Source organism: Homo sapiens, chromosome 4, assembly GCF_000001405.40.
Source record: "Homo sapiens chromosome 4, GRCh38.p14 Primary Assembly".
Taxonomy (NCBI): domain Eukaryota; kingdom Metazoa; phylum Chordata; class Mammalia; order Primates; family Hominidae; genus Homo; species Homo sapiens.
The window spans coordinates 48,499,843-48,515,867 of NC_000004.12; the positions used below are offsets into that span (position 1 = coordinate 48,499,843).

The 16,025-nt window shown below is 35.3% G+C and overlaps 1 protein-coding gene across 20 annotated transcripts in view; it reads right to left on the minus strand.

The window, feature by feature from the left end:
- Positions 1–16,025, minus strand: part of FRYL (FRY like transcription coactivator) — a 282,923-nt gene that overhangs the window by 2,486 nt on the left and 264,412 nt on the right. For 14 of the 20 annotated variants that reach the window (XM_024453991.2, XM_024453993.2, XM_011513683.4 and 11 more), the window contains 8 exons: positions 15,186–15,433; positions 12,639–12,846; positions 10,993–11,142; positions 10,217–10,315; positions 5,705–5,773; positions 2,986–3,003; positions 1,781–1,891; positions 188–378 (listed from right to left, as the gene is read on the minus strand). In XM_024453991.2, coding sequence (XP_024309759.1) covers positions 188–378; positions 1,781–1,891; positions 2,986–3,003; positions 5,705–5,773; positions 10,217–10,315; positions 10,993–11,142; positions 12,639–12,846; positions 15,186–15,433 — 1,094 coding nt within the window. Of the gene's footprint in view, positions 1–187; positions 379–1,780; positions 1,892–2,985; positions 3,004–5,704; positions 5,774–10,216; positions 10,316–10,992; positions 11,143–12,638; positions 12,847–15,185; positions 15,434–16,025 lie in introns of those variants that run through there. The other 6 variants (XM_047450098.1, XM_011513682.4, XM_047450095.1 and 3 more) reach the window with 2 other exon arrangements.

The window sequence follows — 16,025 nt, forward strand, 5'->3', positions numbered from 1 at the left end:
AAAGTACCATCTGAAAGTGAAAAGAAATCTAAAATTGGTATCATTTCAGTGGCAACTGTTAAAAATACTCATGTTTTTCTTTCACAAAGACATGATATGGAAACAGCAAATTGAAAATGAAAACCTAGTATTACTAAACTTCCTGTCTAATTTAAAGGCATCACCTTTAAATCCCGTCACGTTTTACCTGAAAGCTTTGACTTGTGCTACAGCTGATATAAATTCTTTATTTTTCAAAGTTTCAATTAAAGAATGAATGGCAGTTTCTATAGTAGTTTGTGCAGCTTTGGAAATGTCAATTTCTTCGTTTTCGGAAGCGGACTCAGCTTCTTTGAGGATACTTTCCAGTTGGGCAAGTTCCTCTGACATGTTGATGACCTAAAACAAATACATCTTTAAGGATCTATTCGTATGTTTGGTAACAAAAACATTTAGTTGGCTACAAGAATATACCTGATGGCAGTAGCATTGTTGCTCTTAAAGATTATTTTAAAATGTTTGTCTTGGAAGAAAGGGCAGTTAATATTTCAAGTACTCCATTCTGTAGGAGCAAATAAATTCCACCAAATAGTAGTCTTGAAATTAAATGTTCTTGATAAAGCAACAAGTTGTAATAAATGTCTATATTGGTTTTAATATTACTACATTTTGGATAGTAAAAGTACATTTACTGTTATGGGGGATCATGAAAACTATATAACAGTAAAGTCTTTAGATTTTAAAAGATTATTTACCCCAGGGTATTTTTATATAAAAAATAAATACATGTATATTTCTTTTTACAGATTTAATGACTAAGAAATTAAATCATTTCCCCAGTGATAGTTTTATTACCAGCAGATGACAAGGGGGGGAAAAGACTAAAGTTAGCATCTTTGAGGCTATGTATTGATTTTCAACATTCAAAGTGTTTTTTAACATGTTTTTTCTTGTGTGCACTAATAAAACTGTAACAATGTGGGCTGGGCACGGTGGCTTATGCCTGTAATCCCAGCACTTTGGCAGGCCAAGGCAGTGGGTCACCTGAGGTCAGGAGTTTGAGACCAGCCTGGCCAACATGGTGAAACCCCGTCTCTACTAAAAATACAAAAAGGTTAGCTGGGTGTGGTGGTGCACACTGGTAGTCCCAGCTGCTTGGGAGGCTGAGGCAGGAGAACTGCTTGAACCCAGGAGGTGGAAGTTGCAGTGAGTTGAGATCATGCCATTGCACCGCAGCCTGGGCAAAAGAAGGAGACTCTGCCTCAAAAAAAAAAAAAAAAAAAAAAAGCTATAGAAATACGAACAACATGTTGAGGGAGGGGGGTTGATGATACAGTTTTATGTCTTTATTGAACTGATGTGCTTTGTTTGACTATTTTGATTTTCTGAGACAGGGTCTTGCTCTGTCACCTATGCTGGAGTGCAGTGCTGCAATCACAGCTCACTACAGCTTCTAACTCCTGGGCTCAAGTCATCATCCCAGCTCAGACTCTCGAGTAACTAGGACTATAGGTATGTGCCACCATCCCTGGCTTTTACTTGACTTTTGATTATAGATGATCTGTGTCTACTATGGAAACCTTTAAGGTCTTGAACCTTTTACAACTGCTGGATATCTGCTGTCTTATTTACTCATAGGTCCTGACATAGCACATCATTAAAAAACAAATTATTCCTTAACTAAAAGAAAAAAGACTCACTCTAAGTGACTTTTGACTTAAGCTATTTTAACAAGTAATAGATTTTATTTTAAAATTTTTTTAGAATCAGTTACTGATGCCTAATACAACTGAATATTTACCTCTGCTTCATTTTTTATCGTATTTACTTGGTTGATAAGTTTACAGTAGGCCTGGAACAGAAGCAGCAATTGAAAATGCAATTTGTATAATCTTCGGCAGAGCTCCAATTCCTAGAAATAAATAACATTACATTAAATTTAGGTGTTATTTTCTAGACAGCATATTTCCAATGGAAATTTATAGTTAAAATTGTCTTGTCGTTTATTTTTCTGCAGTAAGGAAGTTAATATGGTATGAAGCTGATGAAAGGCACGTGAAATATGCTTTAAAGACTAAGATTAAAATAAAAACAAATATCACTGCTGGTTACATAATTCAGTTTTAATGTTAAGCACATTTTCACATTCTACAAATAGACTGTTTCAGCAGGCAATTAATAGGATACTTTAAAAAGGATTCATTAGAATTTAAAACTTTAAATTCATAATTAAAATAATCTACAAATGCAAAGACTTTTGCCCTCATTGAGATGTAGATCTCACTGCATTTATCAACAAATGCTTGATAAAGCAAAGTGAAACCGGATAACCTCTTACCTAAAAAGTAAGAAAAGCTGTCTTTTAAAGTGAGGTCATTTTTCTAAAGAAAACCACTTGGTAATCTCATTGAAATGAAACTATGAAATTAACAACGTGGGCCGAGCACGGTGGCTCACACCTGTAATCCTAGCACTTTGGGAGGCCGAGGTGGGCAGATCACTTGAGCTCAGGAGTTTGAAACCAGCCTGGCCAATGTGGTGAAACCCCGTCTCTACTAAAAATACAAAAAATAATTAGCTGGGCATGGTGGTGGGTGTATGTAATCCCAGCTACTGGGGAAGCTGAGGCAGGAGAATCGCTTGAACCTGGGAGGCAGAGGTTGCAGTGAGCCGAGATCATGCCACTGCCCTCCAAGCCTGGGCAACAGAGCAAGACTCCATCTCAAAAAAAAAAAAAAAAGTTGTGCACTTTGATTTTTTAAATTAAGAAATTTAAGAGGAGATATGTTTAAGAAAAAGGTGACTGCTAATTTTATGTATTTTAACATCTCACTATTTTAAAAGAACCAACATTTCATGGATTAGGGCTTTGCAAAACTGAAGCACATACTACTTGTAAAGTAGTCCACGAGAAAACATTGCTGGGTCACAAATGGACAAATGGCAGATGAAAACCAGTTTGTCTGGCAAGGGTGAGTAGTCTATAAATCAAGACAGGTCACTTACTGCTAGTATTTCCATTTGCTAAGCAAGAAGGTGATCAGGTCACAAAAAATACAAAGGAAGAAAAAGACCAAGAATTAGTGTAAGAAATCATTTTAACTAGGGTCACAGATGTTCCAGGTAAACTGAAGAACATATATTTATACCCCAAAGAAAATTATACAAAGTTATTTCCAGAATAAAACTTTTTAGACATTTACTGCAACGATTCAGGGTGTTTTTAAACACTTTGCCAAATAATAAATTACATTTAGGCTATGACTTATTTCTGTGTAAAAGCTACAATGAATAAAACTGAACTATTGTGATCTTGGTAAATCTGGCTATCCAGGTTTAAAAAAAAAAAAACCAAAACCCAACTGTAATAAAACTTCCATTTGTAAACTGGAAAACTTATGATTAGAAAATAAGAAACAAATTAATTACTGTTACTTCTCAGAAAAGAATTGGCTTATAATCGTACATAATAAATACTTATCCATCACCATCAAAAGATTATCTCTAGGGTGGCTCATTCCAGGCTTCCTATCCTTTACTGTCTAATTAGGTCCTACTTTGCCATAACTGGTGCTGAGCCACAGGGTGGAATATCAAAAGCAGATGCATGTTCTAAATTGCATTCCAAATATACTTCAGTAAGTTTCAGAAACTTAACCCGACTAGGTTTGAATCAACATAATGTATGTAAAACACAGAGTAAAAATTTATGAACCATCTTAAAAACTATATGAAAACATGTACAGCAACTTGGATCTGGTCTCTTACGAGGAGAATGACTTCTAACTAAAACAACAATTGTTACACCGTAAATGTATCTTCTAAAAGTCATTCTTAAGCCTGCTTTTCTAAATAGTTTCCTGTGAAGGACTGTTTTTCATAAAGTTTATTCCTATCAATTTAGAAGGGATTTGCTAAATAAGCAAAGGTGAACTTTAGCTCCATGCTGCTTACCATAAATTATGTGGATGCTCATCCAATAAACATCAGTTGAGCACAATCCAAGGTCAAGCATATTCCATATCTAAATTTCTGAGGGTTTAGTTCATACAGTTTATTTCATATGGAAATTAACAATTTGAATTTTAAATACCTTTCCTCACTTCTATTAGCACAAATAAAGTAGAACTGATTCTACAAGCATATATGTATAGCCTCTACTTTGGGATGTAATGGAACATAAACTGCTGATAAAGTTTATGATCGTAGGAAATAACACAAATGTAATGAATTTTACAGCTCTGAATTACCAGCAATTACTCTAAATATGCTAAAACAGTGCAGTTTTTGTGGATGAGTGTGTGTGTGTGTATATATATGCACATTTTAAAGTATATTAAAATTTGCACATTCTTTTATTCATCTAACAAATATTTGACTGCTTATTATGCAAAAGACAAGACTGGTACACAAGGACAGATCAAATTGCATAAAAAGCGTCTTCCACCCTCAAAACAGTTGAATATGAAAGGTGAGCTGAAATATAAATGAAAGTGTTAAATGTTCAGTTTCCACTTCGTAGAAAACCTCAAGCTATGTTAACTGACTTGATCTTAAGATGGATATAATTTTCTTCAAGGTAGAGGGGATATAAAAAAATCACTTAATATAAACACCTAGTTTTTGTAGGAAAAAAGGTTACATTACTTGCCGAAGTGATGCAGTTAAACAGTGGCAAAGACAGACAGAATTAGAACCAAAGGATTCTGGTCTAGGGTTAATTCCTTATCTTCATTTCTTTACATAGATGACTTAGCAGTTTCTTTTTAACATTAGTGCAGGATTTGGAGTCAGCCTGCCTAGGTTTCAATCTTGGTTTCACTATTTGCTGATTTTAGATAAATTAGCATCTCTGAACCTCAGTTTCCTCATCTTCAAAACCAGGATAATTAGAGCAACTACTTGCCTGAGTTGTAAGGATAAAGAAACTATAGAGGCTGGCAAATAGTTAACACTTAGCGAGTATACTATTATTTTCTCAACACTGCAGTTTTTGCAGAACTTCAATTTTTTACTATAATAAATAGTATAACCTAATAATAGTATAACCTTTACAGACACTAGAAATCTGTAATAATATAACCAAAGGTAGAATATAAAAGACTGGAATTCTGATGTCAAATGGAAATAAATTTCAGTTGATGAATGTATTTTCCCCTGTGAAGCTACACTTCCATTGGAATAATTTGTAGGCCCTAACTTATCCTCACTTACTACAATGTATGTGTTTATGTATGTGCACCTTTCTAAGAAAATATAATGCTGTTGTTTTCACTGAGCCTTATATTAAAGAAAAACATTATAATTTATCCAATTCTAATTTTACCTTTAACATGGATATATTATATCACATTATTCTTAGGTTTGCTTTCTTGACCAATTTATCTAACAGAATAGCAGAATACTAACATGGGACAAATTTTTCTTTAAGAGGCACATGCAACTTAAAAGCCGACCTGGACTGTCCAGATATCCATCAAGCTTATCTATTGGATGTTATTAAGCTTCAGTCACAAGCTGGTCGTTCATTTTTATTAAAGTGAATTTTTCATTATGAAACCAGTATTTCATTGAGCTTTTACAAAGATTGTTTTGATAACCAAAATGAAAAGTTTTACAAATATTCTTTATTTTTAGAAATAATCAAATAAGGATATTTGAACACATGCATTGTTTTACCTGATACAGAAAATGTATGTTGCAAAAACAGGAACAAGAAACTTACTTGTGCATCTGTGTTTATCCTATACATGTCTTCTTTGGCACCAAATGTCCTCTTACAATCATCTAGCCACTAAAAATAAGTAACAGTAACGTTTAATATGCACAGTAAAATGGGTAGTGTAACAGCCTGTCCATATACAACACCAAACTTAAAGTTAACTTGAAGTTCTAGGATTGGTTGTAGACCTAGACTTTTATCTCCATTCAAGCCAAATCAATCATTTATATGGAACTAACAAAAGCAGGGATAGCATTAATGTAACAAGAGGCACACACTTGTGACAGCTATACTAACAAAACCCATTCCATTCTAGGGACCTGTGATGTTCCATTTCAGTAAAGGATATTCTTCATTTTGCAGGTTTTATGAAAATCTTTACAACCTATGCCTGACCTTTGTGTAACGTAAGACGGGGAAAGGAAAGATGTGCTTCCCCTCTGATCAATTTAATAAAGACAACTTAGAATTAAGTAGGTCTGTTTGCTTATGAGAAGTGTAATTCTCAGAAGACTAGTGTCAGTTTTAAATTTGTGAACCGGCAATCAAGATCCATTTTAAGTCTTGTTTTGTTTTTCTTTTCTTTCTTTTTGGACAGTAATGAATGACAAACAAACATGTTATTTATTTCCAAACAATACTGGATGTAGAAGCCAAATGTGGTTTTTCCTTCTCTGGGGGTATTCCTAATGTTGATATAAAAGTACAGGCTGGGTGTGGTGGCTCCTGCCTGTAATCCCAGAGCTTTGGGAGGCTGAGCGGGGAGGACTGCTAGAGGGCAGGAGTTCAAGACCATCCTGGGCAACATAGGGAGACCCTGTCTCTAAAAACATAAAATAAAAAAAAAGGAATACTTCAAAAATAAAGTACATTTTCTTCAGCAAAATATAAATAAAACAATAGCACCGTGGTATAGTAGAAAAGAAAGAACGCTGGACTCACAGAATTTCCAAGCTGAAGTAAAAGCTAAGTGCATTCCAGGTAAGCTCCTAGCTTTGGACAGTTTGATATTATCAGTTGTTTTGACTTCTAAGTTCTTTTTTTTAAATTATACTATTAAACAATACAACTAATATATATATATATATATATATATATATATATATATATATATATATATATATATGAAATCATTAGGACTTTGAGAAACAGACTAGCTGCATTAAGCAGCTACTCTGAAAGTATTTTAGTATTCGACATTTAACATTCTCTATTGTAGCTTATGTTGTACCCACAAAGAAAGAATTGAAATTTGACATTTCAGTTATTTCAAAAATGATCTCTTTGACCTTATTTTCCTTTTATTCCAGTCTCTCAGATTTCACCGGCCCTTAGGCTATTTGCTTGACAGCATCTCTGAAGAAAAACATGTTAAGCTTTTCTAGTGAGATACAGCTGATGGCAGCCATTGTCAAAAGCTATCAGTGGATTTCTTTGTATCAGCAAAATGCAGTTGACATCTAACATGGAACCTGTGCATTAATCTTTATTCATACAAAATGTTAAAATATTTATACACTTAATTATGCCTTATCTTGTCCAGTTTGTCCAAGTATACTAATAAATTTGAAAATAATTTCAGTTGATTATTTATTTAATGGCTTATTTTTATACTGTGTACCTAATGATACAGCCTTTTGGGGGGCACTATTCAAAATATTGCTGATTTTTATTCTGTTAAAAGACAAACCCCAACCATATAGTCCTGTGGCTGCACACTGGCCTGAGAGATACAGGTCCACACCTTTCCAGCCAGAGCATACAAGACATGGTAGTTTGTGCTCAGAACACCCTCCAGTTCACATCTAATCAATCAGTCTTCCTGTCACGGCATTTTCTTTATTCAAGGTTCAAATGAAGGTTAAAATTTTTAACTGTCGAGGTTCTACTTCTGGGTGTGATGGAGTAGCCTGTATAAAAGAAAGAAAGACCAATCCTGCAAGGACAATGATGGAAGCTGAATCCTATCGGCCAAAACTCACTCAAACAAACAGTTAGTTAGTTAGAGAAAAGTACCGGAGTGAGCCCAATACCCGCCCCAGTGCTTACTCTACTCTAGGTGTATTCATATTCACGTCCCTGCGCATAGAGGCTGAACAGAAAGCAGTGGCCTAGAGTTTATGCCCTACAGTTTCACTGGGCTGGGAAAACAGTTTTCAAAGATAGATAGATGATAGATAGATAGATAGATAGATCGTGAGATATTGAGGGCCAATATCCTGGAGAAAAGAGAACTGCAGAGAAGTGACCCCAATAGTCTCTGTGCAGTCTCGCCTTAGAACACTTGCTGTTCCTGTTTATTATCTGCAGGGGGAGAGGCTACAAAACCACACAGCAGCCCCTGGGAGACTGAGAAGGTCGGCAGAGACCGCTGGTCTCACATTGCTGGGGAGAGAAAAATAATTCAATTCACCTGTGAGCCTTAGCAGTCTTGAATAATAATAAAAAGAATGTATAACTCAAAAATGAATGGGAAAATTAAATAGGGCAGACAGTAAATATTTTAGGCTTTGCAAAACATATAGTCTTTGTAACTATTTAATTGTTACAGTGCAAACATAGCCATGGACAATATGTAAGTAAACCAGATAGCTGTTTTCTACTAATTTTATTTACAAAAATAGGCAGTGGGCCAGATATAACTTGACAGCTGTAGTTTGCTAACCTGTGTTCAAGAAGTTTGTAAGCATTATTAGTTGTTTGAATTTCCATATAAATTTTAGAATCAGCTTGTCAATTTCCATTAATATACCATCTGAGATTTTGAATGAGACTGCATTAAACCTATAGACCATTTTGGGGGAAAATGACATCTTTACCATATTGAGTCTTCTAATTGATAAACATGGTATATAGTCCTCCATTTAGGTGGTCTTTAATTTTTCTCAATATTTGCAGTTTTCTGTATAGAGGTACAGCATATCTTTAGACAGATTTATTTGTAGGTATTTGATATTTTCCTATTATAAATGGTATCTATTGCTTTAAAACCAACCACCCTAAAACTTAATGGCTTCAAACAACCAAAATGAATCTATGTGCTGGCTGGGAGTTTCTTCTGGTCTTGCCTAGGGTCACTCATGAGTCTACAGTCATTGATGGCTTGACTGGGGAAGCGGCAGGGTTGAAGTTCCAAGTTGGCTTCACTCATATGTCTTGCACACTGACTGTCAATGGAACGCCTCTGTTCTCCCCTACATGGCCTCATCTTCCAGCAGGCTAGAGGTCAAATAGTTTCCCAGAGTTTACCCCAGTTTGCACTCCGACCAGTATGATGGCAAAAGCAGACACCACAAAAGACCACTTCAGGACTAGTCTTGGAAGTTACACAGCGTTGCTTCTGAACTTGATTGGTTAGAGCAAATCACAAGGCCATCCCAAATTTAAGAGATGGTGAAATGGACTCTGTCTCTTCATGGGAAGAACAGCAAAGTCACATTGCAAAGGGGTGTGGCGACAAGAGAAGCATGATTCATTGGGACCAGTATTTTAACAATCTACCTTTGCTTCTAGTAGGCAATGATTTCTGAAGATACAAAAACCATAACCATGATGGAAAAGGCTGATAACCTGGACTTATTAAAATTAAAAACTTCTGTTCATCAAAAAATGCTACTAAGATAGCAAAACTGCTAGCTACAGAGAAGGAATAATCTTCGCAATACATACATCCAAAAAAGGGCTTGCATTTAGGATAAAGAGCCCCTACAAATCAGTAAGAAAAACCCAATCGATTTACAAAAATGAGCAATGTACTTGAAGCTACAATTCACAAAATATCTTAAATGAAGAGATCCATTTGAAAAGGGGCTCAAATATTAGTCATCAGGGAAATGCAAAATAGTACCATGAGATACCACCACACACTTCATTTTTCATAGGTCTATACATGTCACAGATATTTACTACTTATTAATGAAAGACCCATCTAGAAAAATAATTACCTACTGTATGCAGTTTGTGTGAAAGAGAGAAATTATTTTTTGTTCTTCTGTCCCTCCCAATTGAAAATGTGCTGGATTTACTCTTAGGGAAGGAACAGAGCTACTCTGTTTTCAATGCCAGATTGGACTTGAAGAAGCCTTTCTTAGGAGGTAATTGTCTAATTCACTACATGCTTTTTTCTCCCACTGCTTGCCCATGTACATGTACACATCATGGGAAAAAGATTACAGCTTTGTCAGAGGTTGTGGATTTCCTAGACCACAATTCTCTAATGCACTGAGAAATACTGCTTCAATTTCCCCACTTGGAATGTTGACAGCAGTGACACAGTCTCCACAAAGAAGCTTTTTACAAAGCTATGGTTTTCCATTGTGCTGTTAGAGGACTGATTTTTAAAAGCCAAAGGTAGGAATTTGCTGGATAGAGAGCTCAAAGAACCTGCTGCTCTCAGGAAAACCCTGAGGCAGGTGCTGAGAGGTCTTCTTTTCTGTCTGGGCTATTCTGCTGCCAGGATTACCCTTCCAGTGTCAAGAGCAAACCACTTTTCGCACATGGTAAAAAGAGACTGACCTGCTCAGCGGCTTCTCTTTTCACATTGTATGTATCCAGGTGTTCTTGCAACTCCAAAACACCAAACTTGAGTGTTTCCAGCAAACCACATGACATCAGCTGTCAAATCAGAAGTATTGATCCAGGTTACCATTTCTGATTGAAATCATGAGACTCACAAAATCATGAGACTTTTCAGTCATGGAATAGCTGTTAGTTGGTTTTTGGATATTCTCTTAACTCTACTCTGTCCCATACTTAGAGCTGAGCTCTCACTGGAACAGAGTAGGAGTGCAGTGGGACTTGAGGAGGGTCAGGAAGGACATCCTCAAGTGTTTTCAAAGACGTCATGCCAGACCAGTACATACCTCAAAGGTATCAACCTTGAAGCTTTTTAAACCTTAGTTCTTTAAATATCTTAATATATAATCTAGAAGTGTGCTTAGAAATAAATCAGGAAATGAACCAGGAGGCCTGGGTATTTCACGGGTGGAGGTTTAGGCATCTCCTACCCATTTTTATTTAAGAATATAAAAATTACCCATCTCTAGAGCATGACTTTTTAGTTTTCCCATCTAGGACTCTGTAGAGGGTAAGGGCATGAAGGAGTCAGAATCAGAAATAGTCACAAGTTGCTGCACCTAATATACTAGAATTGTAGTTTGCCACATATTTATAATCATGTTGAAAATACGAACCTTTATACCATAAAATTCAGAATTACTTAGAAAAAAAGACTTACTGAATGATGCCATTCCAATGTAGTCTTTATAATAAACCTGCATGTAAAAACTTACTGTTTCAGCATCCACAAAGACTGTTGGGCATTCTGAACACAGCATCATCACTTCCAAGGAACTTTTAAATTTGGTACCAATGCGTTGCAGACTATCACCAAGAAAGCTGACTGCCTCATTAGTTATTTCTCCAAACTTTCTTTGAATTGTCTATGGAGAAAAGCAGAAGAAAGAGTTTAGTGTTTCATAAGAAGGCCTTTTTTCATCTTTAAGTAAAGAAGCATAATAGGGTAGACTTTTATTTTAAAATTATAATGATATATAGAACTTTAATCATTGATCTATAAATCCATATTTTTAGGTATTTCCTTAGAAAACATTAATTTCTAAAAAGAAACAAAAATTTACAAAATAGTATTACTGAAAAAATGATATATGCCATTCATCTCCCTATTCCTGAGATTTTTTCATCAGGGGGCAGACAGATGGATGCATGCTGTACATTCTTAGCAATGAAAGTCCTCACCTGTCTTGAGGAAGTTGTTCATCAAAAGTTATTACCTGAAAGAAACTTTCAGTAAATGTAGTTTACTATTCTTGGCTATGGGCTGCCATCTGGCTTAACTTTAGGTAAAGTCATAAAAATGTATTAAGAGTAATATCTTCTCAGAGTCCAGGAATATTCATTTCCATAAAACAGACAGTGCCTGACTCATAGTAAGTCAATCAATTAGATTATATTATCAGTAGTATAATTATTACATCAATGGTTAAAGTATACCTACTTATATATGTGTTGCACTGTTAGGTGGCATTATGATTAAAATAAAAAGCATAAATCCGCACTTTCAGCCATCATGAAACTTACAACATCAATAAGAATATGAGTAGAAAAACCAAGTAGTGATGCAATAAGTACAGAATTAAATAAGCGCTCCCATTAATGAGCACTAAAGAACTTCCAGGATGAGAGAGACTGGAGGTTGGAGTGGTTGGGAAGGCTTCGGTAAGAAAATGCATTTAGCTGAGTCTTCCAAGATGGGCAAAATTTGGGAGGAGAAAAGGGAGGAAAGGTGGTAGATAGTTCAGAGGACAATAACTTAAATGGTGGCATTTTTCTGTGCCTTAGTTTCCCTCTCCACTGAATGCTGAAAATCAAATCTACATTCCATAGTTGTGGTGTCAGAACACTTACCGTAAAGCCCTTTAGCACAGTGCCTAGCAAGTAGTGGGTACTCAATAAATTTTAGCTTGTATTATCTTTATTATTGGGGAGGAAGCAACCTTAACAGCTAAAAACTTTAAGGTCCTCACAAAGTCAATGGACACTTTTAGTCCATTACTTTAAGCCTTGATTATAAGCTGATTTATGATATATTAACTGTAAGCTCCCTGAAGGCAGAGCTTAGGCCTTTATTTCTTTGGTATCCTGATGGTGCCTAAGCATACTGCAGAAAACATATCAGACGTTGTTTTGAAGTTTTATTCTAATTGCCTTAGGGGAGAAATCTCTACCAGTCATTGTGTAATGTACCAGCAGTACCACAATGTCACAGTGTCAATGTAAGTAATACCATTAGCTTAGAAAAAAAAAATTTGTTAAAACTGGTAGGAATATTAAAATCGGAGATGCTGATTTTAGAAGAAAAACTGTAACTTGATTAGGTAACTATAATATGAATTCAGAAACCCTGAACCTCACTGACCTGAAACAGCCTAGAAAACACATGAAAAGTAAACACTGCAGAGGACCCGTCGGTGTCAGACAGCATCTGATTGACGTGGCAGCGCCAGGCTTCCTCTTCATCATCATATGCCACGGGCTGAAAGGCGGCTATGATGGCAGAAAGAAATGGTGACGGCAGAGGCGACGTCTGTACTTCTGGAAAACCATCTTGCTCTTCTTCATCTTGACTATTAACACAGATATCATAAATATCATAACACTATCTCAGAAAAAAAGAATAGGCTCAATCACGTAAGACAGCTTAAGTCATTTGACAGGTTATTTTTATTCATCATACACACTGATTTAGAAAATGTACAACAACCTAAATCTTGTAAGAAAGTGTGAATAAGTGAATTCCTGTTCTTTCTAGTTAGCATTTTTAGAATTAGAACTCTAATTTCAAGCAACTACCTTAAAATAACCCAAGTCCTATAATATGCCACCACTATGGATTCATTTTAGTAACTTCTATGAATAATACCGATTAGAATGCTTTCATTTTCAATGGTCAATTTTGGAGGCTTTTATTTGAACAGCCTCACATTGGTGATAATAATATTCTTAAAGTTTTGATCATGGTCATTTGTGTTAAGGGCTATGTTAGGGGCCTCATATGGATAATTTCATTCAGTCTTCACAACTATATGAGGATTAGGTTCTATTATTATCTTGATTTTAAAGCTGAAATAAAAAGTTCAGTAAGGTTAAATAATATGTCTAGTTACTGGGTAAGAAATGACAGAGCCAGAATTTGAACCCAGGACTACGGGTCCAAATGCTATTAGCCAGGAAACACATGGCTAGCTCAGCTATTTCATAAGCATATACTATGTTCCTAGCAATATGGCCGATAATAGATTTGACTCCAAAGAAACATAAGACCTCGCCATTTCCTTCAAATAATTTATAATCCCTAAAGTCAGATTATACAAACAAAAATGAACAATGGAAAAAGATGAAGATGTATTTGGGTTGGACATTCTACAACTCTCAGCCAAAAAAAGGAAGAAATATTGAGTCTGACACTTCATAAAAAAGAAATGTGTTATTCAAGGTCTTAAAATTGCATGTTTCGCATTACAAGCTAGTTCTATAAGGCTTTACAGAAATTTTGGAGCAATGCATATGGTCTTCCATATGCACTGGAATGCATGGAGGGACCCGAGTAAAGACTGGAGAAAACAATCAAAACAATCAAAATAAAGCAGACATCTGAAGTGAAAACAAATGAGACCTCAAAAAGGTTAATTTTAAAACTGTCACTGTGGTGATGATTTTAACACATATACTATAAGCTAGGGTAGATAACCTGTACACTTAGTAGGAATGCTCCATTCTATTTCAGCTGCAGTACTTGGCCAAAGTCAACTGTTTGGCTTCAGCCTTTTAGAAAGCCAAATAGCTGAATAACATCGTTTCTGGCATCCCTGAACTTGTGCATGATTAATGATTGAGTGGTTGCATGGGCTACTGCCATATTCAAATCAGTAATATGAAAAAGGTGTATCACTAAGATTTATTGTTAATATCTGATTGTATCTTTTCAAATATAGGTAAGTATTCTTGATATGTTGATGGTAAAAAAAAATCTCCAATGTGTTGTATGTGTTAAAACTCTATTATCACATGAAGTATAAAGGTGTAATTTTTATTGTAAAAGTAAAATTCTGAAATACTCGATAATTATTAAATATTAATTTTATATAAAAACAGTTATCCAGGAGCTCCAAATTGTTGAATGGGGAAATAGATACACTCACAGAGTGCATGAAGTTAGATACCTTTATAAAAAACATAATATTGAACCACAAATATTTGTGAAATTTAAACAGTGGATATTCTATTATAATTCTAAGTGTTAAAGAATTATTTGGTTTAAGAGTTTCGTAACAGCCACCAAAATTTCCCCTAAAAGCTATATATAACATATGATTATTATGATTATTATTCAAGTTAGTCCTTGAGTAAAGAAAAAGTTCCACTTGAGAATTCTTCATACTTTCTGGTAATAAATTTTTAATGTATGGAGCATAAACATTTAAAAGGAGCAATCTAGCATCTAAGAAATAATTGCTTCGCCTATTATAGAAATAAAACTTTAAAAATATGACCACTGATCATGAAACTGTAAAAACAATTTTTTGGAATATATTTTAGATTCAAATTGTGGTATCACGGAAGTTCATTCCAATATTGATTTTAACATTTGGCCATTTGGCATCTGCCAAAATAGATATTTGGTGTGCTTCTAAATGTGGAATACCACTTACTATGCTTTGAAAATAGCCTAATTGTTTTTCTTTATGGGAATGTCCATAATCGAAGAAATATCCCATTAGAGTCAGGCATTTTATTTTTAAAAACGAAGATAGTATGATTCTAGACTAAAACACACAAAGTATGATTACAGACTGAAACACACAAAGAAATGAAAGTAAGTAAACTGAAACAGAGGGGCACTCTTTGGAAGGAATAGGGGAGAGATTATCCCCTCACTACAGTGTTTATGATACTGTATTCTCACCTAGACAGTCCGGAGAAATCCGCTTCTTCTTCTTCACATCTTTCATCTAGCTCTTTCAGAGCTAAGGTAACATCCTCTTCACAGACTGACTCGGGGTAACTTTCAGGAGCTAGAGGCTCTGGCATTTCAGTTTCTTCTAAATCAAGAATTCCTTGACACACAAGAGATTCCTGCTGTTCTTGAATTATATAGGATCCTTCATCTTCAAAGGTTGTAACATGTTCCTCCTTTAATACTGAAGTTGTATCCTACAAAACAATCATAGTTTTAGTGAACTATAAACACATAAAAAAAGAATTTTACAACACAATAAATAAGTATTGCCATCCATCTAAGTCTGTTTTATTAAGTGGTGTTCATTTATACAGTCTGTCACCCAGGCTGGAGTGGAGTGCAATGGCGTGATCTTGGCTCACTGCAATCTCCGCCTCTCAGGTTCAAGCGATTCTCCTGCCTCAGCCTCCCAAATACTTAGGACTACAGGCACATGCCACCATGCCCAGCTAATTTTTTTTTTGTATTTTTTAGTAGAGATGGGGTTTCACCATGTTAGCCAGGATGGTCTCGATCTCTTGACCTTGTGATCTGCCCGCCTTGGCCTCCCAAAGTGCTGGGATTACAGGTGTGAGACACTGCACCCGGCCACTTTTATAGTTTTTGAATCAGTTATAAATTATTTTTAACGGTCATAGGTTTAAAATATTTTGAAATTAAAATATATCACCTATTATCATATAGAAACATTGAGGACTTTTTTTCTCTTCAGTAACAGGATTTAGGTGTTTACTTGGAAATATGTGCTTTGGTAAAATATCTTCTCTCATATATGTTCTAACTCTA